The 25587-nt window shown below is 40.8% G+C and overlaps 1 protein-coding gene across 22 annotated transcripts in view; it reads left to right on the top strand.

The window, feature by feature from the left end:
• GRIP1 (glutamate receptor interacting protein 1) overlaps positions 1-25587 on the top strand; it is a 721908-nt gene that overhangs the window by 670849 nt on the left and 25472 nt on the right. For 14 of the 22 annotated variants that reach the window (XM_047428622.1, NM_001379351.1, NM_001439323.1 and 11 more), the window contains 5 exons: positions 4138-4282; positions 5674-5813; positions 5988-6182; positions 19054-19210; positions 21205-21316. In XM_047428622.1, coding sequence (XP_047284578.1) covers positions 4138-4282; positions 5674-5813; positions 5988-6182; positions 19054-19210; positions 21205-21316 — 749 coding nt within the window. Of the gene's footprint in view, positions 1-4137; positions 4283-5673; positions 5814-5987; positions 6183-19053; positions 19211-21204; positions 21317-21428; positions 21474-25587 lie in introns of all 22 variants that reach the window. The other 8 variants (XM_005268757.5, NM_001379349.1, XM_005268754.5 and 5 more) reach the window with 1 other exon arrangement.

Below are 25587 nucleotides of genomic sequence, written 5' to 3'. Positions count from 1 at the left end.
AATGGGAGAAAGGTGTTTGTGCATAGGGAGTAACAGGTGCAAGGGCTAAAGATGTTAGAAAAGTGCTATTTAAGGAATTGCAGTGGTTCTATGAAGAGAGAATTTAGCAGATTGGATTGGGATGGGGGAGAATGGCGTGACCCTCTGGGGGCCAGCTCAGCTCTTGCACAGGGGTTGTATTTTATTCTTAAAGAACTGAGGAACCAATGAAAAGCTTTAAGTAAGAGAGTAACATATTCAGATTTATGTTTTAAAGATATTCTGGGAAGGAAAGAGAAGAAATTATATGTTGGCAGCATTGGTGAAAATAGAAGTGGGGAGGAGGGGCAAAGGCTGGATCCCAAGCAGGAAAACTGTTTAGGAGGAAGCCATTGCTATGAAAAACTGGGCAGAGCCACAGTGGGGCCCTTCTCAAGAGCAAGTGGCAGTGGGATGCCCTGGAGAGCTTGTCTTGTGGGCAGACGGGCCATATGGTCTGGAAAAGACTGTGTGCGGGCAGCCATCACCACCGTCTATGAAAGGAAAGCCAGACTAATTAAATATCTGTTTACACAAGGCATCCACATAGGGCTTTCTAAGGGAATTGATATTATTTTCTTTTTCAAAGGCTTGTTATTAAATTCAAAATATATACAAAAATAAAAATAGCATAATGAATCACCATGCATCATCCAGTGTTAACAGTGATTTGCTTACAACCAACCTTGCTTCATCTCCACTCTCAGTCTGGTTTCTCCACCTCACCGGTGGAGTTATGAAGAAATTCCAGGCATCATCCCATCTTTTTACTAACGTATGCCTAAAAAATACTCTTTCAAAACACATAACTAAATATCATCATTAGCAATATTTTTAATCTTATAAAATATTCACTCAATGTTCACATTTCCCTGATATATATAAAATCCTAATTAAAACCAACTGTTTTTTTAAAGCAATCTATCTGATAGAAAAACACATAGCTTTTTTTTTTTTTTTAGAGGGTGTCTTGCTGTGTCACTCACCCTGGAGTGCAGTGGCACAGTCTTGGCTCACTGCAACCTCCACCTCCCAGGTTTAAGCGATTCTCCTGCCTCAGCCTCCTGAGTAGGTGGGACTACAGGCACGTGCCACCACACTTGGCTAATTTTTGTATTTTTAGTAGAGACGGGGTTTTGGACATGTTGGCCAGTGTGATCTCAAACTCCTGACCTAAGGTGATCCGCCTACTTTGGCCTCCCAAAGTGCTGGGATTACAGCCGTGAGCCACTGCGCCTGGCCAATAGATACCTTTTTATAACAGTTGGTTTTATTAGAATCCCAAATGATCTACTCATTGCTTTTGATTGTAATGTCTCTTAAATCTCCCTTTTCTCTTTTTTTTTTTTTTTTTTTTTTTTGAGACAGAGTCTCGCTCCATCGCCCAGGCTGGAGAGCAGTGACATGATCTCAGCTCACTGCAACTTCCACTTCCTGGGTTCAAGTGATTCTCCTGCTTCAGCCTTCTAAATAGCTGGGACTACAGGCACGAGGCACCATGCCTGGCTAATTTTTGTATTTTTAGTTAAGACGGGGATTCATCACGTTGGCCAGGCTGGTCTTGAACTCCTGACCTCAGGTGGTCCACCCACCTTGGCCTCCCAAAGCGCTGGGATTACAGGTGTGAGCCACTGCACCTGGCCAAATCTCCTTTCTCTTTTGTGTTTCTGGCAATTTATTTGTTAAAGAAAACAGAAATCAGCTTCCATTTCTGTCATAATTTAAATAGAATATCATGTCATCCTGTTTCCACCCCAATGTAATCACAGGAATGTGTCCTTCTTAGTTAAGAGGTACCATTTCCCAGATTTGCATCTCCATCACTATCTAAACTCATTGGGTGACCTAACAATTGCCTTCTAGTCAGTGAGGACTCAGATGCCAATAAAAAAATGTCTCCAAATAAGGCAGCCTGAAACAGACTATCCTAAAGCCATTCACTTCATCTCTGGTATTATTTTGTCATCTTTGCGTCTCAAGTTACATTGTCAAAAAATAACATGGAATACTCACTCTGCAGAATGAGCTGAGTAGAACCAGGTGCCCCCCTTCTCCCAATGAATGGGACTACCCCCAACTCCCCTTCCATAGTCCAGTGTTTGTTTTCATCTTGACTGCAGTTTCAATGGACACTTCCCACTGGTTCTTGGGTCTCCAGGTCCTGGGCAACTGTCCTTCTCCCCAAAACCCATAAAGAGCAGATGCTCCAACCCAAAATGCTTGGCACCCATTGACAAGTTTGTGCTCATGCTTGCCTTATGCAGAGAGCAATAAGGGGTCAAGGTCTTTCCTATGGCATACACACCTCCACTGAATGGCCCACACAGAGTGTCCAGCAGTAACTAATGTTCAACTGTGCCAGGGACTACTAATCAAATGACTCATTCAGAATTTCATCCAGGATATTGTTGATGATGAGGGCTGCAAAGTACATGTAATCTATCCAATAGTACTCTGTTCATTTAGGTCAAAGCCAGCTCTGAAAGGTGACAAAATATCGTACTGTAGGAAAATTTAGACTTTTGACCTCTGCTGATTATTTGGTTACCCTCTATCTTGATGTTTCTCTCTGGAGCCCTTAGCAGATCATCACCAGCCTATTGGCCACAACTTCAGCATCAGCCCAGAAGAAACTTGTGAACCAGCAAACAGAGCTGTTTTAGGCTTGATATGGGAGCTTCTCAGCTGCTAATGTAAATTTGAGCCCAATGTTGAAGATTTTGTGCCCTAAAATGTTGACTTAAGCATTGCAGTGTGTGGTGGATGGTCTTTAGTTCTGAATGTGTGGAGTAAATACGTTGAGTAGAGCACTCAGAAAGTGGAGGTAATGGCTGCATTCAAAACTCCCAATCTATGGCCAGAAGTGAAGTAAGTGCTGGCGAGAGAGGACACATTGCTTCCCAAATGACTTGATAGACCTTTCATTTTATATTCATCATAATTCTTCACTGCAAACACAAATAATTGAATTGTTAACTCAAGCTTTGGTTTTCCTCCTTATTTTAGGATTTCATATCGTAAACGAACAGCTGCTCACTGCAAAAATGTGGCCATGTTAATGCTTCACTAGGATGTAGTCTGACTGTAAAAGCTGACTATTTTGCTAAAGTAGCCACTGAACCATTTCATTTTATCCTTAGTTGCAGAAATGAAACAGTTCCTTAACCATTCACAGCTCCCAGGCCCAAGGAATAAAACAAGAAGTGCCCAAGAACTTTAAGCATGTCAGAAGCAAATAAAACCTTTGAATTCTGAGACTTCTTATTTGCAACTCTGACACCATCACAATACCCATCACGTTGAAGGCGGCCCATGATATCTTTCTGGCCAGTGCTTTAGGCAGAGCACATTCACAAGTGTCTTCAACTATAATAATGTTGAATAGCCAAAATTAGTTTATGACAGTGTGGCAGGCTGGTCTATGCTGTTGAAACATAGCTTACAACAGCTGTTACTCCATTGAAAGAGGAGAGATGATCATTCAAACCTCCACTTTAATATCCGTAATTCACTGATAGGACTCACATTAGAAGACAGTCAGTGGAATGATATCTAAGAGATTCTAGATTTCTTGCTGTTGTCTTCAAGTTTACTTATCTAAGTTCCACTTAACCATATATATGTTATTTGTTCCAACCCTTCGCAAAATCCACTTTTCTATATCAAAAGTTAGCATGCATGTAAAGCTTAAAACGGAAACAGCGTGACCCAATGTCTGTCTTCTTTGTTACTGAGTGACTCTCTCCTCTCATATTATAATGCCTCCTCAGCCATATGTTTATTTCACAGATATTTACTGCATACTTACTAAATGCTAGGTAAGCACTGTCCTAGACATGGACACAGTTGAAAGGTCCTGCAGCCCCAGCTGGGCGGATCTCACACATTTAAAACATAAGTCATTAGGCAGTGTTCCTCTCCCCTGGCACTGACAATGATTATATCCCTGTATTTGAATGTAAGATCCTACTAAGGAAATGCTACTTCCCAAAATAATTATTTTCTGTGACATGATACTTTGACGAGGATGTTTTGAATTCTTTTATGTATGAATCTATGCATCTTACTCTTTTGCTTTTTCCAAAGAAATCAATTATGATTCCTTGGCATTTATTACAGATGAGCAAGAAAGTTCCGGAGCAATTATTTACACCGTGGAGCTTAAACGCTACGGGGGGCCCCTTGGCATCACAATTTCAGGAACTGAAGAGCCGTTTGATCCTATAATCATTTCAAGCCTCACTAAAGGGGGATTAGCTGAAAGGTAAAATTTGAAGTAACTGTTATAATTACCTGTGTCTGAGACGGGCTTCCTTCCTCACAACCACATAAAAACATGCTCCTCTCTCTGTGGTTATCTGTTGGCTTTTAAAAATCTGCACAAAGGATTGATCTTAGAGCCTGAGAACTCTCAGGCAGAGTTCCGACTTGACTCTGAGGGGCATCTTACAGGCAGTAAAAGACGTCTTGGGCTTAGCATTGATACTACTCTCTGAAATGTATAAGCTGACCACAATTGACTGAAGGCGGATTTGTATTGTGTCCATTTTGAGAGGAGGAAACTAAAGTTCAGGGAGGTTGAACAGCTTGTCCAATTTCATTCAGCAAACACTTGCTGAGCCTCTGTTACCTGACAGGTGCCACACTTAGCTGCTGTGTTTTCAGAAAAGGATGATACAGACATCATCTTCAAGGATTATGGGAAACAAAGTGTATAACCCATTTTAATAATGTCTTAAAAGCTGGAATGTCCATTTTTTCCTTTGGCAATGATGTACACACACACCCACTCCCCACCCTCCGCTAAACTGCATTTCTTTCTGAGATGTGTTGTTGGACATATAACAAACCCTATAAGCAAATCTGCCCTCCAGTAACCTAGCTCAGGAATACACAAATGCATTGTTCCTGCTAACAGTTGAAAACAGTGGCTAGCAAAATAGAGACACAGCATTGCAAAATGTTGGAGCTGCAGTGTACCTTAGAAATTAGCTCATACAGGCCAGGTGCGGTGGCTCACACCTGTAATCCCAGAACTTTGGGAGGCCGAGGTAGATGGATCACGAGGTCAGTTCAAGACCAGCCTGGCCAATGGGGAAACCTCATCTCTACTAAAAATAGAAAAATTAGCTGGGGATGGTGGTGCTTGCCTGTAATCCCAGCTACTTGGGAGGCTGAGGCTGGAGAATTGCTTGAACCCGGGATGCGGAGGTTGCAGTGAGCCAAGATCGTGCCACTGGACTCCAGCCTGGGTGACACAGTGAGGCTCTGTCTCAAAAAAAAAAAAAAAAAAAAAAAAAAATCTGTAGAAAGAAAGGATGCTCCATGCTATCCACTACATTTGTCATTCAACATTGTTCATTTTCTTGGGATTTTTAGGGTGCTTAACCAATGACTCAGCTTTCTTGGAATTAAAAAACACAGTTCATTTTAATAACTAATTAAAACAATTTTTAAAATTTTATTGGAAACTAAAAAGTAATCCACAACAGATGCAGTTATCTTATAACATTGCCCAGGAGAAAGCAAGAAGGGACTTCTGGAGATCCTTACCAAGTCTTTATTATGATGAATGTATAAGGTATGTCAGGGAATTTATATTCAGTACCATACAGGGATTATTTCTACCTCTCCTATTACTATTTGGCTTTTCAGAACTGGCGCAATCCACATAGGAGACCGAATCCTAGCCATCAATAGCAGCAGCTTGAAAGGGAAGCCTCTGAGTGAAGCCATCCATTTGTTACAGATGGCAGGAGAGACTGTCACCTTGAAAATTAAGAAACAGACAGATGGTGAGTAGTGAATTGAAAGCCACAATTAAGGATTTCCAGTGCATTTTCTTCCTTGAAAGAATGTGCTAGTGTCTGTGTGTAATTCTAGGGAAACAAATCTCTAGCCACGGAGTATCTTGGTATATTTTTATTTAAATTTACTCTGATACTTAAACTCCTTTCCTGTCTATAAAGCCCAGTCAGCATCGAGCCCCAAGAAGTTCCCTATTTCTAGCCATTTGAGTGACCTGGGGGATGTGGAGGAGGACTCCTCACCAGCACAGAAGCCAGGCAAGCTCTCCGACATGTACCCCTCCACGGTGCCCAGTGTGGACAGTGCTGTGGATTCATGGGATGGGTCTGCAATAGACACCAGCTATGGAACTCAAGGTATGTCTTTACTTTGTCCCCCAGAGGACTTGTCATTGTTGAAGCCCATGCTTCTCCAAGATTCATCCTCTGCTCCATGAGGAGAATATCTTTCTTTAACTTGTGTCTGCTTTGGTGCAGCCATAATCATATTGAACACATTGAATACTTACACTCTGCTGGCCATGCATTTTCTTCTAGTGCTTATAAGGCATGAACCTTTACCAAACACTAACAGGCCTCCATTAGGTCTACTGATGGCCAAGTATCCCATCCAGGGCTTGTCCTTCAAGCTTAGATTAATGTGAGGCAAACCATACAATAAAGTGGCTCGTTCAATACAGGCCCCATTGCCTTATTTTTCAGCAAGCTTTCCACAAAGATGGATTGGGGAGTTTGGAAGAGGTGCATAAGAGATTAGCCAATGATTTGTGACTCTATTTATTCCTGCACACTCCTGACTTTTTTTTTTCTTTTAGAGACTGGGTCTCACTCTGTCACCCCAGCTAGAATACCCTGGCACCATCATAGTTCATTATAGTCTCAAACTCCTGGACTCAAGGGATCTTGCTGCCTCAGTCTCCTCAGTAGCTGAGACTATGTGCACACACCACCACACCCAGCTGATTTTTAAATTTTTGTAGATACGGGGTCTTGTCATGTTCTCCAGGCTGGTATCAAACTTCTGGCCTCCAGCAATCCTCCCATCTTGGCCTCCCAAAGTGCTAGGATAATAGGCATGAGCCACCATGCCCTTTCCCTGAATGTTTATAATTAGAGCACTATAATCACAATATAGGAAAGTATAGAGTAGATTTTTCTTCATAGGTGTCATCGTCATGTGAAGAAATACTATCTACATTAAAAAGCCTCACTCATGGAATATAAACACATAAAAGGTGTCAGACTGAATACAGAGCATAAACTAATAGCTTCTTTTAAAAAATATTTTCTTCCCAGTGATCCGTAGCATCAACAAGAGAAGTATGTCAAAACTTCTTGGTATTTCTCCTCATCTGAGCCTTACCTTCTCTCATGTTCTATGTAAATTCCAGCCTCTGAATCCCTTGTTTGCTCTGGGTTTCAGTCAGTCAAATAATAAAACACATAAACAGTTTAGAGAACACATTGGTGTGAGGGCTGCTTTGTCACTGAGTTAACTGTACTTTTTAGGAGTGTCTGTATCCAGTTTGCTCTCTCCTGGTTTTCCTAGTTTCCTTCTCTCAGCCTGCCTATGTTGTGTCACTCTCTGTTAAGTCCTCTGGTGAACAAAAAACAAAAATGGAAGGGAGAAAAAACTGGAAAAAAAAATGAAAGGAGATGATATTTCAAAGTTGTCAAGTTGTTACTTTCATTAGAGATGATACTGGAGTTAGGTGGGGAAAATACTTTGAACACCTAAGTAGAATTGGGGCTTTATCTGGCAATTAATTTTTCCAAGTCATAATACCTTGTGACAAGTTCACCTATGCCACCAAATAACAGACCTTCTGATTGCCTGAGAATTGATGGGCCACCAGAAGACACTGAGTAAAGGACAGAAGTCACATTCTATCAGAGTAGACTCAGGTTTATTTATCAATTTATTGTGTATTGGTTATTTATTTGTGTATTTTTTGTGTATTGCTTATTAATGTAGAGATATTTTTGTTACCAGAGATTTTTGTGAGGGTGCTATTGATATTAATTAGTTCTTCCCTGTAAGGTGATCTGTAAGACCTTAGCTACTCCATCCCTTGAAACCACAGACACAGGACCATGAGAAGCAAACTGAATATAGGACCTGCCCCTCACTAGTAAAAGATGAAAAACCATTTACTATTTGTGAAGCATTTTGAAATTTTGAATCATAGTCATAATATTACATTTTGCATTTATAATTTAGACATTTTTATGAGGTTGAAGGGAACTGAGGGATAAGTAGAGACAATGGCAATCAGGATAGAATCGAAGTACTCCAAGGTAATGAAAAAATAGTAATAACCCTTTATATATATAGAACACTCTAGAGTTTACAAAGCACTTTCACATAACTAATCCCCATTAATTCTTGTGACGAACATGGGAGCTGAAGGCAGGATTTCAGGTTTGGAAAGGGTTTAGGAGTCAGCTAGTCTGATGTCCAGTGCAGCCCTTGGTGCCAGGTCCTGCCTCACTGCACGCCAAGACACGCTGCATGGACTTGAATGCCCAAGGTGACAGGTTGTTCCTTGTGCTGAGGCAGCCCCCCATCTCCACGTAGCTCTGATGACTCTAAAGCTCTCACTTGTATTGAGCTGCAGTATGCCTAATAGTCCCGGCTATACCCTCAAGGTCATTCTGCACTAGACTAAAGCCTCTTCTCCTGACAGCCCCTTAGATACTCGAAGACAGCTATTGGGTCTCTGTTGAGGCTTTCCTTCTCCAAGCAAAATAGCCCCAGTTCCTTTAACTGTGTCTTCTATAATTTACTGACGAGTATCTGTATCGTCCTGTGGACCTCCCTTACGAATGTGCTTCAGTTTACCTGTGTACCCGTTAAAGTGTAACATTCAGAAAGGAAAATCACACAACAGCCCGACAGCCCGGAGCAAAGCAAGCTGGTCACTGGCATCATTGAAGACAGGAGAACTGATCAATGACACCTACCTCAACATAAGAATTTTAGTGGTCATGGCACATCTGTCACTCATTTTGCGCTTACAGTTTACCGAGATCTCAAAGTCTTGTGAATGTGTTTTTTTTTCTTTACCCGTGATATTCAGTTAAACTGCATCTCTCCAGATTGTGCTTGTGAGGTTGACTTTTTAAAAGCAAGGCACAGCTGGGTGCAGTGGCTCAGGCCTATATTCCCAGCACTTTGGGAGGCTGAGGTGGGCAAATCACCTGAGGTCAGGAGTTCAAGACCAGCCTGAGCAACGTGGCGAAACCCCATCTCTACTAAAAATACAAAAACTAGCCAGGCGTGGTGGCACACACCTGTAATCCCAGCTACTCGGGAGGCTGAGGCAGGAGAATCGCTTGAACCAGGAGGCGGAGATTGCAGTGAGCCAAGATCATGCCACTGCACTCCAGCCTGGGCAATAGAACAAGACTACGTCTCAAAAAAAATTAAAACAAAAATAAAAGCAAGGCATAGAACCACACTTTTATTTTTCCTATTCAATATTATGTTGTGAGATACAGCTTATCTCTCCAACCTGTCCCTCCAGCCTCTCAGCAGGCTCTCTGCCTTGTTCCAGGAAGCCCCTGCACATTCTCTCTGTTCCCTTTAAGGCTGTAATAGTTGCCTTGTTCCCAGGAGACTCCATAATGCACATCTTCCTCCTGGGGCTGGAAATCGATGTCTTTGCAGCAACATTCCTTACTGTTCTCTCCTTCTTCTCTAAAATATCAAGCTTGCTCCATTCATTCCTTCAACCAGTATGTAATGACTGGCTCAATATCAGGCCCATAGACCATGTGGATACACTCTTGGACAAAGGAGACATGGTCTCTGCTCCCATGGAAGAGGTTACCCAGCTGAAGGGACAGTCAGTTAACAAATAAACAAACAGTGGCCCTATCACTTCGTTAGTGAAAAGGGAAATAGAATGGAATGACGAAACCTTGTGGGGAAAGAAGGGATATGTTTAAGGAAGTCCCACAAGGGGCTGATTCTCAGTTCCACTGTGTGGCTGACTTCTTCCAGTTGGCCTCCAGGTCAGCTTCTTTCACTCCCCATTGTCTTGCCCATTAGATGCCTCATGCCCTTCTGCCTTATCAAAATCTTAGGCATTTGGCCTCCTTGCATCTTATTAATTCTTCCTTCTAACTCTGAGAAAACCCTATGACTGCTTTACTTGGATTTAGCAAAGGTCAATACAAGAGGAGACTGGCAAATTGGTGGTGGTACATAGACTGCCATGCTCGCGGGCTGAATAGCTCTTGTGCTCTCTGTAACTTTGGACTCTCAACTCAGATAGCTATATTTCTATCTTATTTTTCTCCCTTTTGAGGTCATTTTGATCATTTGTTTTCTCTCAGAAAATGAAATTATTTCATCCAGATGTCAAATGTATTTTATATAATTAATCTCTTTTTTAATTTTTTATTTTCTCAGTTTCTATAATTATATCCATAATATTGTTCCTTAATTGGTATATTTGTGGTTTTATTATTTTCCCCATGATTCGATTAGTAACAGTTTATTTGATTTCTTTGTTTGGTTTTTATTTTTTCCCAGAGAACTGACTCTTGCATTTATTTATTAGTTTTACTCTAGTTTTTTTTTTTACGTACAATTTTACTTTTAATTTTACTCTTTCATTCAGTTCCTTTTAAATTTTATTCCTTTTATGACTTAAGTTGGATGCATGATTTATTTATTTTCATTGCTTTATAAGGATATATTCCTTCTTTGTGTTTTCATAAGGATGATAACTGAAAGGACACCAACATGTGCAGTCAGAGTCCAACTTTATTTAATGTCATTAAAGAATACAAATCATACAGAGGATAGCACAGAGTAGAAACCCAATGGTATCCTCCTCTACTCATTAGCAGGATTTTATTTTTCTCTTTCGTTTCTCTTCTGATCTCTACAAGCTCATGTTTCATCATCATCTTGCCTTGCCCAATTTCTCTAGAGTTCTTATATTTCTGCTTTGATCTCTTGTTTTATAGAGGTGATGGCTTTGCTGTGTATTTTTTAAATTTTGTGATTATTTCTGATTGGTCATGTTTATCATTTGCTCTGAACCAGGCTTTTTCTCATGAGTATTCTTCATCTGCTATCGCTTTGTTTTTCTATGCCTTTGCTCTCATTTGTCTGATATTTACTTGGTATACATGTTATGCCAATTCCTTTTCAATTACTGCTCACCACTGAATGAGATGAGTTCTTCCTGAACTGGAAGCTGCTAGAGGCTCTGTTTCCAAGGTACCAAACACACCCCAGTTCCAGCATGGTATGTGTGAGTAAATTCTTCCCCAGCTACCAGAGAGCAGCAACAGCAGGCTGCTCACAAAACAGAATTCCTCTCTGCTATCCTGCCTCATTGAGCAATTGCTCCCTTCAGTCTGTGACATGTGTTCTCTTTCCCTGACTTTACCTTGATGCCAGATGGGATCACATGTACTTTCTGCCACCAGCCATGCAGTGCATACTGGTGTTCCAAACAAAGCATTGGAGTTTTGCCTCATGCCACCGCCCCTGCTTTGGTAGACTGAGTTGTCTACCAAAGAGTAGTTTGGTAGTCCTGGCCATAGGTGTCTTCTCTCCACTTCTTACCACCACCACCCCCTTCCCATTTGACTTCCACTGGATTTATGTATTATGTATTTTCTTATGTATTATGGTCTGAGATTACATGAACACTCTAGTTGTGATTAAGATGGAGGTTGCATTCTGTTATTTATCATTACTTTTTGTCTTGAGGTGATTTCTGAGAGAAGAGAGAACTGTCTTTGCATTGACATTTAGATCACAGCCTCATCTGAATACTTTGAATATTTCTTGGCAAGATCAATTACAAATAGTTACACAAACATATGATTTGATTTTCTCATCCTTCACAAAACTGGGTCTTTAGAAAACAAATTTGGCAGCGAATTAACTGGCTCTCTTTCCTGTACTAAAATTGGTTTCCAAGAATGAAAGTAATGGCAAGAGCTACAGTCCCAAAATTGTTGAGATGAAAATTGAATTCTATTTTTTTTTCTTTTTTTGTTTTTTGAGACGGAGGCTCGCTCTGTCACCCAGGCTGGAGTGCAGTGGTGCGATCTCAGCTCACTGTAAGCTCCGCCTCCCGGGTTCATGCCATTCTCCTGCCTCAGCCTCCCGAGTAGCTGGGACTACAGGCGCCCACCACCACGACCAGCTAATTTTTTGTATTTTTAGTAGAGATGGGGTTTCACTGTGTTAGCCAGGATGGTGTTGATCTTCCTGACCTCGCGATCCACCTGCCTCGGCCTCCCAAAGTGCTGGGATTACAGGCGTGAGCCACAGCGCCCGGCCGAAAATTGAATTCTAAACTTTATGAATATGAACCCACACTGATTAGTTCACTTTTCTAAATTAATGCTGGGTATGAATTAAAAGCTACAAATATTAATCTGTATTAGTACAGAAAACCAAATATTACAAGGTTGGAATGTTAGAATTTTACAAATATCTAAGGCATAGTTACCCTAAAAATAAAAATCATCCTATCAAGATTCCATCTACTTTCAGAAATACCTACTTTGCTGTTTTCCACTTGTGCAAATAAAGACCTATTTTTTATGAAGACCTGTTTTCCATTATGCAAATAAATAAAACTAAACATTAATATCAGTGAAAGGAATCTGGACTAAATTTTATACCTCCTATTAGGATACAAAGTATAAGATCAGATATGGAAACCCAGATGTAAAATAAAGAAGGAAAGAAGAAAAAGTTGCCAATTCTAAACCAAAGGAGGCCAGGCATGCAGGCCCACATCTGTAATCCCAGCACTTTGGGAGGCCAAGGCAGGCAATCACTTGAAGTCAGGAGTTCGAAATCAGCCTGGCCAACATGGTGAAACCCTGTCTCTACTAAAAATTCAAAAATTAGCTGGGTGTGGTGGTGTGTGTCTGTAATCCCAGCTACTCAGGAAGCTGAGGCAGGAGAATTGCTTGAACCTGGGAAGTGGAGGTTACAGTGAGCCAAGGTCATGCTGCTGCACTCCAGCCTGGGCGATAGAGTGAGATTCTGTGTCTAAATAAATAAATAAATAAATAAATAAATAATCCAAAGGAGAAATGACTTAGGACCATACATTTTATTTATTTTTTATTATTTTATTTTTTGAGACCGAGTTTTGCTTTTATCACCCAGGCTGGAGTACAATGTTGCGATCTTGGCTCACTGCAACCTCTGCCTCCCAGGTTCAAGTGACTCTCCTATCTCAGCCTCCCAAGTAGCTGGGACTACAGGTGCCCACCACCACGCCCAGCTAATTTTTATGTTTTTAGTAGAGATGGTGTTTCGCCATGTTGTCCAGGCTGGTCTTGAACTCCTAACCTCAGGTGATCTGCCCGCCTCAGCCTCCCAAAGTGCTGGGATTGCAGGCATGAGCTACCGTGCCCTGCCTGAGCCACCGTGCCTGGCCAGTACATTTAAAAAACATTATTTCTTTTTTCAACTTATTTATTTTATCAATTTTTAATTTAAAATGTAGTTTCCAATATTATATGTGTATTTCATGTGCTTACACCATCATTCAACAACAAAAAAAATTTCATTATCTATCTGGCAGTTGATTTTTTCTTACGCCTGGGCTGCCTCATTTATTCCCTGGCTTTTAAGCTTGACTCCTGGTGTAAAGGAATATTCCTCAGAGCCTGTTAACTTTTTATCAGTAATGGCAACAGGTTTGCCTTTTACCTAAACATAATTTTCCTCAGATATTCCCTCTTTTAAATCATGGTATCACCAGCCAGCTGTATCAGTTAAAGGTCAAGTTTAGCTGATTTGAAGATTTTCTTCTACATACGAAACAAAATTTAAGTGATGGCATTTAAGCAACATCAGGATTTATTTTTCCCATGGTGTCATCAGGACCCAGGTATCTCACTCCCTCTACTCACTTAGCATCTCTGATGTCCCTCCATTGCCACTGCCTTTGTTTCAGGCCTGATGAAATATGGTAACTCCTTCCTCACTTATCTTCTTACTTTGAGCATCTTTTCCCACATTTCTATCTATAATCTTTAGCAAAACCAAATCTAGTCATGCCACTCCCTTAAACCAAAAAAACCCTCTTTTGATGGTTATCTATTGTTATAGGATAAAGTCAAAGGTCTTCAGTTTAAAACACAGGGTTCTTTGTAATCTAGTCCCCAAATACTTTGTCAGTCCATCTGCTGACACTTCCTTGCAGTACCTTTTAGTACACATACCCGGAATATCTCACAATTCTCTAAGCAAGCTTTGCATTTTGGTATCTTGATAACACTAGGTATTTTGATATGTTAATTAACCTCTTAATCGGTTTCAAATCCATTGAGAAATAGAAATGAGAGTCAGCTATGGATTAAAATATCAGCATTTCATTTTATTTTTTTGCTAGAAAAAGCTGGATTGGTCCTGCAGCCAGAATCAGGATAATTATTTTCCTACCCTCAACCCAAGTCTAGACATTTAAATTTAAATAAGACGCAAGTCAGATCTACACAGCAAACCATAACTGAACTGGTTACCAATCAATGAGATTAGGTTCAGCTGAAGAGAACTGAAAACTCTAATAATACATTGACTTACATTATAAAGAAACAGGCACTTCGAGCTGGTATGTAACTCCACAGTGTCATCAGAGGCCCATGCTTCTAAATATTTCGGCTCTGTTTTGCTTAGCACTTGACTTTCATCCTTGGGGTCACCTCATAGTCCAAGACAGTTACTGGGGCTCCAGCAATTTCATTTGCATTCCAGACAGCAGTAGCAAAGATGTAAGGAGCCTTCTCAGAAGTCCCCTTAGCTACGTCATTGACCAGAACATTTCACTAAGTTGCACTTAGCTTTGAGAGAAGCTAAGAAGTATAGTTTTAGTCTGAGCAATAATTTGCTCACCCCGAAACTGGTATTCTGGTACTAAGGACGAAGAAGAGAATGAATGTTCTGATGAGCAACAGGTAGTCTGCCATGGTTATCCAACTGCCTAGTCATGCCTTTTCTTGCCTCCATCAAGCTCAGAGAGCCCCAAGATTGTGACCCAGGCTTGCTTACCGCACAGCACAGCAGCAGTGGGAGAGAAAGCGTCCAGAGAAAGCCAGGAATGGGCTGAGTGACATGCCCAATGTTCTTTTCCAAAACTCACCAGTTGGGTAAATCACATTCCTCCTATGGGGAGGAATAAGTACACATGGTAAGAGGGCCCAGAATATTCCTGGAATACTTTTCCCTTCTTAGGAGTAGAACAGAGACCCACTGATAGAATCGAGGACCTGTTTACCCTGACTGCACCTTTACCAGGCTCTCTTCTACTTGGCCAACACTGTCTGTTGTTGTTGTTGTTGTTGTTGTTGTTGTTGTTGTTGTTGTTGTTTTTGAGACAGAGTGTCGCTCTGTCGCCCAGGCTGGAGTGCAGTGGCATGCCTTCAGCTCGCTGCAACCTCCACCTCTCGGGTTCAAGAGATTCTCCTGCCTCAGCCTCCAGAGTAGCTGAAACAACAGGCATGCATCACAATACCCAGCTAATTTTTGTATTTTTAGTAGTGATGGGCTTTCGCTATGTTGGCCAGGCTGGTCTCGAACTCCTGGCCTCAGGTGGTCCACCTGCCTCAGGCTCCCAAAGTGCTGGGATTACAGGCATGAGCCACTGTGCCCACCATGTACTGTCTTACCCAACAGTTCCAACTAGTAAATGCTGACCTGCTATCTAACTGCAAGCTTATATGTCATTTTTCCTTTGGCACCCTTCATGACCCACCTTCTAATCCCCAAACCTGTCTCTGTCCTTCCATATTAGTGCATTAAGACTAAAAGGATGACACTTTCACATGCTACTAGAACTCACTTTCTATGCCTCTTTCTTCTCCTTCTCCTATACATATACCAAACAATGCAGTTTTTGAGGACAGGAATCAGTTTTATTTCCCTTTGCATTTTAGTTCCTGATATATAGTATCTGATACTTAAGAGACACCCAAGTGTTTACTGCATTAATGATGCTGAGACTTACCTCTTTTCCTTGTCTCCCTACTTTAAAGATAAGGAAACTGAGATCTTGAGAGGTTGAAGGGCTTAGTATATAGTAACAATGGGCATCTGTGTTCATTAAAACCTCCTTGTGTTCTAGGCACTTTCATAAGGTGTGCATTCATTCTTCTTCATTTTCTTATCAACCTGGTAAACTACCTATTGTTATCCCCATTTTACACTGAGGTTAATTGGCCAGGCTGTGAAGTGAGGAAGTGGCTAAGCTAGGATTTGAACCTTGGTCTTTTCTTACTTTTATTAAGTTTTATTTATTTGTTTATTTATTTATTTTTGAGACAGGGTCTTTTTATGTTGCTCAGACTGGTCTCGAACTCCTGGGCTCAAGGGATCCTCTTAGCCTCTCAAGTAGCTGGTATTACAGATATGCATAACCATGCCCAGTTACTTTTATTTTTTGGAGATAGGATCTCACTTTGTCACCCAGACTGGAGTGCAGTGGTGCAAACTTGGCTCACTGCAGCCTCAACAACCAGACTTAAGCAATCTTCTTGCCTCAGCCCCCCAAGTAGCTGGCATGCGCCACCATGCCCAGCTAATTTTGAGGGGTTTGGGATTTGTCTTTTTTTTCTTTGTAGAGACGGATTATTGCCCAGGCTGGTCTCAAACTCCTAAGCTCAAGCGATCTGCCTGTCTTGGCTTCCCAAAGTGCTAGGCGTGAGCCACCGCACCTGGTCAACTTTTCTTACTTTAATCTCTGGGTCAGCGTAGCACGGACTAGAGAAGAGCTGGGATCAGGTTTTCTGACTTTACATTTCACCCAGAGATTTGAATCTTATCCCCTTTTCTTTCTCTGCTTTGTTGTAATGCAATAATCATTTAATAGTGCTTATTAAGACAAGGCATCCTTATTAGAGATACACATGCCTTTCAAGGTTAGCAGTTTCCTACTGATGGTGGTGCACATCTGCTCAAGCCCATTCTTGCACTCTTGCCTAAGTCTCCAAGAACTACTTATTATACATACAACAGTTGGAAAGAAAATCAGTCTAAAATGTTGAAATTTCACCAGGGAATTCAGTGGTCATCGGGGTTAATGTTTATCAGAAAAGGATACTCCAGGAAGACACCACCAATTAGCATTGGCTCTTTGAAAGGTTGAGGGTTGAAACCAGTTTAAGTGAGGTACAGGCTTCCCCAAACTCTTTGTATTATAAAAGCTGAGACTTCATGTATTTGGGGTTGGTTTGATTGGTTCAGAAGGGGAAAATGGTTAGTCCATCAGAGGGAGCCAGGATGAAATTCACAGCTACTTAGTTCCCCTTCAAGAGAAGACACATCTGTGTTTCCTTAAGTCAACACTTTTGACAGAAAACTGCATTCATAAGACTTCTTCCCAGATGGCTAACCACACTTTTGCAGTTATCTAGGAAAAAGAGAATGAGACATTGAACTGTAAATATTTCCTCTGCTCCAAGGTCTTCTAATCCTTGGTGTCCTAAAATAGAAGGTTCTTAGAGTATTTCCATCATGTGGTGGTAGGCATTGCCCTGGGTTCTTAAGATCAAATCCTTTTGATCAGAGAGTATTATCCTTCAGATATCCTGCTCTGCTTGGGCTTTAAACTAGTAGCAAAAATGGCATTAGAGGCTTCGACAACAGGTGGAGAGAAAGTGAATGGGGAAGAGGAAGCAGGGATATCATGGAGACAGAATCATCTTACGCAATCAGGCCATTTAACTGTACCTGAAAATGCGGGTACAGGTCTGTTTGCTGTATTAAATGATTTAAGTACAGTAAGAAACACATACCATATTCCAAGCCAGCGCATCCATGTAAATACACATGCACACACACAAGTCACAACCTGAGGTAGTGGATGAAGGCGTATGTGATGATTACAGCACAAGCTATGGAATCAGACCTACAATCGAGCCCCACTTGAACCCCCATAATAATTTTAAAGAACCACATACCCCATCACCTACTAAAAGTTGTTGTCTAAATGTTTTTCTCACAAAATGTAAATACTTGCAAAGACTATAATTTCCAGTTTGTTGTAAAAATGCTTTAAAAACATTTCTATCAAAATCTTGGAACTACAGCTTGGAAATACTTTTGTGGAAAGTGTCCATTATGTAACATAATTGCCAAAGCCATTCCTCACTGTCTCACCCATCAGGCTAATCAGATGTAACTCCCTGGTGGAAAAAAGTCAGCATTTTGCAATTCAAATAAACAATAAACGCAGCAGGCTTCTTATCCCTGACATCCGTTGCCCTTCTGAGTTCTCTGAGGCAGCATGAGAGATGGACAAGAGAGAGGGGTGAAAGCCTTGCTGTGAGTTTGTGCCTGGTTGAAATAAGGCCTTGCTCCCAACAGACCTCATCACAGGAACAAGTCTTTCCCAAATTATCCCTTGAATTGGCAACTAGGAGTTTATATCCCAGGGCCCAAGCACTTTCAAATACTTGAAATGGGGCCGGCACGATGGCTCACACCTGTAATCACAGCACTCTGGGAGGCCGAGGTGGGTGGATCACCTGAGGTCAGAAGTTCAAGACCATCCTGGCCAACATGGTAAAACCCTGTCTCTACTAAAAATAAAAAAAAAAATTAGCTGGGTGTGGTGGTGCACTCCTGTAATCCTAGCTACTTGGGAGGTTGAGGCAGGAGAATTGTTTGAACCCGGGAGGAGGAGGTTGTGGTGGGGCGAGATCGTACCACTGTACTCCATCCTGGATGACAGAGCAAGACTCCATCTCAAGAAAAAAGATTTGAAATGGATGAGAAATATGTCTTTTGTTTGTAAAGTGGCAGGAGTACAGTTGTGAAAGAGGAAATGAGAAGGGAGCACTAACTGGCAGATCTCAGCTAAGCCAGTTTGGGGAAGAAGTGCATCTAGAACTTGAGGATCTGAAAACCGATTCTCCAAAAATTATGACTTGAACTCCCAAGAAAGTTTGCAAATAGCCTTAGGTACTTGAAACCACTGTTCTAAGCCGTCCGTGTCCTCATCTGTAAAATGCAAATAATAGGAGTATCTACCTCCAAAGATGGCTCTAAAGAAGAAAGATGGCTCAAAATGAAGTACTTGGTGAAGTCTTTGGTGCACAATAAGCACACACTATGTGTTCACTATTGTTATTGTCATTGCCGTTATAATTTGACTCCTCTACTGGTTAACAATGTCATTTCTCAATGGATTAAGTAATCCTTGGGCCCAATGCTAACACCTTGTTTATATTTTAGGCACTAGTTTTCAGGCCTCAGGATACAATTTCAACACCTATGACTGGAGGAGTCCAAAACAGAGAGGCAGCTTGTCCCCAGTCACTAAGCCTCGAAGCCAGACTTACCCAGATGTGGGGCTGAGTTATGAAGACTGGGACCGGTCCACAGCCAGTGGGTAAGGTTTTCAACCAATGCTGCCTCATCCAAGATGACTGCATGGTCATGTGGGCAAGATTTGAACTTCTGTACTTCCAGTAGCACATATTGTTAGTATGGGCTTCTTAAAGCCACCATAATCATCCATGCTGGCCACATGGCAGGATTCTAAAAGCTGCCTGACCAGTGGCAACCTGGGCACCACACAACAGGGCAAGAGCTGGGTTTCCCCTAACGAAAACAGTAGTAGCACCTGGGGAGAAGCTGCTTCTATAAACTTTGCACTCCCTTCCTTATGACAAGTAGGTCCCCCTCCTTTATTTTATTTTATTTATTTATTTTTTTATTTTTTGAGACAGAGTCTCACTCTGCTGCCCAAGCTGGAATGCAATGGCAAGATCTCGGCTCACTGCAACCTCCATCTCCCAGGTTCTAGCGATTCACATGCGTCAGCCTCCTGAGTAGCTGGGATTATAGGCCTGTGCCACCACATGTGCCTAATTTTTGTTTTTTAATTTTATATTGTATTACTTTTATTTTTTATTTTATTTTTTGAGATGGAGTATCGCTCTATTGCCTAGGCTGGAGTGCAGTGGTGCCATCTCAGCTCACTGCAACCTCTGCCTCCTGGGTTTGAGTGATTCTCGTCTCAGCCTCCCGAGTAGCTGGGATTACAGGCATGCACCACCACGCCTGGCTAATTTTTGTATTTTTACTAGAGATGGGGTTTTGTCATGTTGACCAGGCCGGTCTCGAACTCCTGACCCTCATGATCCGCCTGCCTCAGCTTCCCAAAGTGCTGGGATTACAGGTGTGAGCCACCGTGCCCAGCCTATTTTTTATTTTTGAGACAAGGTCTCACTCTGTCACCCAGGCTGGAGTGCAGTGGTATGATCTCAGCTCACTGCAACCTCCACCTCCCAGGTTCAAGCAATTCTCCTGCCTTAGACCCCCGATTAGCTGGGACTGCAGGCACCTGCCAACACGCCCAGCTAATTTTTGTGTTTTTAGTTATTTTTAGTAGAGACAGGGTTTCACCATGTTGGCCACGCTGGTCTCAAACTCCTGACCTCAAGTGATCTGCCCACCTAGGCCTCCCAAAGTGCTGGGATTACAGGCGTGAGCCACTGCACTGGGCCCCTCTCCTTTCTTTTAAAAGTTAGTTTCACATTAAGTTACTTTTTTTTTTTTTTAAAAGATACCTCATGGATCCATCTTTTCAGCAAAGTATATTTTACCATTTTGTTCCTTACCAAAACATTTTAAGGAAATTTATAAAAACTGATAGCATTTGGTTTACTTATAATGATCTTTAAATAAGTGAGAAAAACACATGTTTCTCTCTTAGAGAAAAATTTGATTTCTCGTTCCTTGTAGATATAGCAGCTGAAATACATTTCCGACGTTCCATCCCATTCCAACAGGGCCATGTGGCTGCAGCCCATTTAGCAGCAGCCACAAATAGTCTGAAATCCGGTAGTAAGACCATGGACCATCCTTTCCATCTTCACAACACTGCATTTCCTAAAGCGTCCCTCTGCTGAAGCTCATACTCTTGGAGGGCACAGGTGGAAGAAAGCCAGATCCAAAATGACTCTCTTTCTATATTTCGTGTGAGATGAAGGAGAGATATTCTGAATCCAAAAAAAAAAAAAAAAAAGGCCGGGTGCGGTGGCTCACGCCTACAATCCTAGCACTTTGGGAGGCCGAGGCGGGCGGATCACGAAGTCAGGAGATCGAGACCATCCTGGCTAAAACGGTGAAACCCTGTCTCGACTAAAAATACAAAAAAAAAAAAAAAAAATTAGCCAGGCGTGGTGGCAGGCGCCTGTAGTCCCAGCTACTCGGGAGGCTGAGGCAGGAGAATGGTGTGAACCCGGGAGGCGGAGCTTGCAGTGAGCCGAGATTGCGCCACTGCACTCCAGCCTGGGCGACAGAGAGAGACTCCGTCTCAAAAAAAAAAAAAAAAATGTCTGGCAAGTTCCTAACCCAGCCTGTGTTTCTTGACAACAGTTTTGCAGGGGCTGCCGATAGTGCAGAGACAGAACAAGAGGAGAACTTCTGGTCTCAAGCGCTGGAGGATTTGGAAACCTGCGGACAGTCAGGAATTCTGAGAGAACTGGAGGTAGCCTTGGTCCTGCTACTTACTTTTATTGTTTCTACATTCATTTTTTTTGGTCCTTTTAAGTTTGCATTTCTCACACCAGTTCATTTAAAAGCTTTAACCCTTTCCACAGGAGAAAGCTGACAGGCGTGTGTCTTTGAGAAACATGACTCTCTTGGTAGCTACCCTTTATGTTTATATTTTTGCTTGTGAAGCTGCCTTCCCTACCCCCTTGCCTTCTGGACAGCAATTTGATTTTATACAATGCAGTCAAAAGTATATCCCCATCTCCACCCCTCAAGCTTACTGACTTGTGGCTTCTGCCATTGCTCCCTGCTAACCCTGATTGTATCTGTTTCCTACCAAATCGCTAAAAAGCGAGCTAAGTCTCCCAGCAGCGGCGCATCCCATTCTCTTAGTTGCTTTAGAAAGGTTTCTTTGGCATGTTTTCATTTGTACCTGGAATAGAAATTAATGTGATCGTTAAGAGGAACATAAGAGGAAATTTTATTTTACTTTGTTTTGTCCTTAAAGTAGATGACAATGCAGCTGGTGAAAAAGGCCAGTCTATTTGATAAGCAGCAAAAATATTACACAGTACATTGCTGTTAATTGTAAATCCTGATTCCATCTGTATTAACTTAGTGTGAATTCAAGGAAGAACGAGATGGAATGTAATAGCTGAACTCCTGGTGAGTTCTTTAATCAAAGCCATGAATTTGCTGATGGTATTCACACTTTAGTCTAGGAAGTCCTGGACTGTTTCCTTTTATGTTCTTTTAAATTTTCTGAGCTGTAAAAAATAAAGTGGCAAAAGTCTCATTTTTATTTTGATGTCTTATGAGGTCCCCAAGTCACCATAAGGAATGTGAATGGCATAATGGGGTGAAACTCTTGCAATTCTAAAATGATTACTCATCTTTATATTATTTTGCTTCTCAATTGCATGTGTGGTTATTTTATGTGATTCTAATGTTTGTGAATCTGCAAAGAGAATTATAAAGAAAACTATTAGTTTGAACTTGTAAACATCATAGTATTATCTGGCATGAATTGCAGCTTCAGAGCACAGTTAAAGGTCCTGGACATGGATAATCCTATAAAATCTAAATGAAGTAAGATGTTAGCAATGATTCATTTTTATACAACTTTCAAAAAGAGCAGAATGCTGAAGTATCAGCTGGCTTATTTAAACCTGTACCACCTTCTGCATGTAGAATGATGAAGAAAAGTAGCCCAAACTGAGTAACGAGCACAATTCACAATTCTTGAACATAGCCCTGCTTTTGAAAGCATGTTTTGGCTCATCCTGCTTTTTCATTGTGCATTTTGATATTTCCCTTTTGAAGAAAAAAAGTTGTTTTTCTAACAGCTTATTTTACATTAGGCAAAAAGAAAATGATGTAAAAAGTGATACAATCAGGTTCTGTTTTCACCCAGAAATTGAGTTATCTGATGAAAACAACATCCATCAGTAAGAGTAGATGTTATGTTGCCACAGCCTATGAATTTGCTGTAACATAGCTCCAGACAGATGTGGCCCTTGACATTATTAATGCAGAAAGCAAATGAGTTGAATTTATAAGCCAAAGAGAAATTAAATCCTCAACTAGGATGAATGATTGGCAAATTCATAAATTAGTTATATTTACACTTTTATCACAAAGAATATTTATTTATTGGTTTAAATGAACCCCATTCCCTTGATTGGAAATGCTATTATACAAAAAATATTAGAGCTAGATTCTTGCATATTAAATTTACATCCAGCATTAAAAGTTAAAGCACACTATAATACTAATAAATGTAGAAGGTTAGCTAAGATGAAAGATGATTACAATTGAAATGGAAATGAAAATTAATTTACTAATCATTTCCCCTATTGCTAGCAATAATTTAGGTTCAACTTTAGCACCGAAAAATGTATAGTTTTAACAAAGGAGAGAAATTTGAATGAGTCTTTGGACAAGTTTTTAACCTCTCTTATCAGATATTTCTTCTATAAAAATGGGAATTATAATGAGCTAATAATTATGTGGCACTTAAGTATTCAATAAAAATTAACTATTAGTATTTTTGCCCTTTCTTGATTAATGATCACTGCTTTAACTATTTTTTGTTTAGCATAATATAAGAAGAAGGTTTAACTAAATGTCAGATAGAGAACTCTAGGCTGCCTTAGGAATAATATACAATCATGAATTATGGCAAATGAAAACAGGTAATACATACTCTTGAGACCAAAGCAAATCCTAGGTAATTAAAAATAATTATTTTTTAGCTTTTTATTTTAGTTTTTATATTTGTTTTACCTTTTATGTTCCTTCTTAGATGCTACCTAAAGTTCATTTTAAACAAAGCAATCAAACTTTGATTACTGTACAGATTCACATACTTACCTGAAAATGCGAACCAAAGAATTAGTGATAGTATCTTATTTCTTCCATCAGAACCTTTTCTAAATCAATCTGTAATTTCTTCTATGGCAGCTAAGACTCATCAAAGCAAAACTGTGGTCTCTCAGTTGTAGTGATTGTTTTACTTCCAACATGTGTCCTGTCATTCTCATGAAAAATGAATATTAAAAAATGGATGTTAACAAAGCAAACAACTAGTCTAAGTAGGTAAAAATAATAAATGGATGGTCAGCATGGCAAGAAAACAACCAATGAGTGCTGTCAGATACACTAGATTAAACATAGAAATGGGGCAGGTGCGGTGCCTCAGGCCTGTAATCCCAGCACTTTGGGAGGCTGAGGCAGGTGGATCACCTGAGGTCAGGAGTTTGAGACCAGCCTGGCCAATGTGGAGAAACCTCATATCTACTAAAAATACAAAAATTAGCCAGGCGTGGTGACGGGTACCTGTCATCCCAGCTACTTGGGAGGCTGAGGCAAGAGAATCGCTTGAACCCGGGAGGTGGAGGTTGCAGTGAGCCAAGATCACATCACTACACTTCAGCCTGGCAACAGAGTGAAACTCCATTTCAAAAAAAATAAAATAAAAAACATAGAAATTATATACATGAGTAAGTGCCATAAAATAAAGAATATCCCATGACACCAATGAAGCCAGTAAAGAAAGGTTTCAATCAACTTAAAAAGGGTATTTATCTGAAATAAACTGTTGTATAAATAGCCCACACTTGTTTTTAAATGCTAGGCATCTTTCTACCTACTAAAAAGGAAGTTTTATATGATTCAACCTAACATTTGACTGAGAAGCACCAAGCAGTCAAGAAAAAGAGTTCTGGAGTCAGAGTACTAGAGCTCCATGCCCAGGCTCTTGGGCAAGTTGCTTAACTTGTCCACGCATCTCTTTCCTTTACTGAAATGAGGATGTATGGTAATTTTAATATCTATTGTATAGGGTTACTTATGTATTAAATGATATTCTACATGCAATCTGTATGGGACTTAGCACATGTTAATGTTCAGTGATCAGCAAGTCTTTTTACAGTTATAATTTTCTTTTTCAAAATTATCAGTGAGATAACTGATCTAGTCAAGATATAGTCTACTTGTTTCATTTCTTTTTCAACAAAGTTGTTAGATATATGCACATGTGTGCCAACACTTGGCTGTTGTTCAAAGATCTTGTTAGTAGTGTGTGTATAGCTGAACACCAGGTGAATTTGGGAACTATGAAATCTTAGAGACGTGACAGATGAAAACTCTACTCACTTTGCAGTATTCCCTCATGATCAATAGTTTTATAAAGTGCCCTCGGCTCATTTACTACCAATGTGACCTTGGGTGAGTCAGCCTCTTCGTGCCTCAGTTCCTCACCTATAAGTTGGGAGGAATGGCCAGGCGTGGTGACTTACACCTGTAATCCCAGCACTTTGGGAGGCTAAGTGGGGTGGGTCACTTGAGGTCAGGAGTTCCAGACCAGCCTGGCCAACATGGTGAAATCCATCTCTACTAAAAATACAAAAATTAGCCAAGCATGGTGGCGCATGCCTGTAGTCCCAGCTACTTGGGAGGCTGTGGCACGAGAATTGCTTGAACAAAGAAGGCAGAGGTTGCAGTGATCCAGGATCACACCACTGCACCCCAGCCTGGGTGACAGAGTGAGAGTCTATCTCAAAAAAGAAAATAAATAAATAAATAAATAAATTGAGAGAAGTAACAGTGCCTACCCCATAGAGTTGTTGTGAGGCTTAAATGAGTGACTACATTCAAAAGACTCAACAAGTTAAGCTGCGGTTACTTTTAGCATCAGTATTAATATAAACAACTAAATCACATGGCAAATGGAACTTGTTTTCTGTCCCCATGGTATCAGGAAGA

This window comes from Homo sapiens, chromosome 12 (assembly GCF_000001405.40).
Source record: "Homo sapiens chromosome 12, GRCh38.p14 Primary Assembly".
NCBI classification, from domain to species: Eukaryota; Metazoa; Chordata; class Mammalia; order Primates; family Hominidae; genus Homo; species Homo sapiens.
Note: the sequence above shows the minus strand (reverse complement) of the source record. Positions and strands in the feature narration are given on the sequence as shown.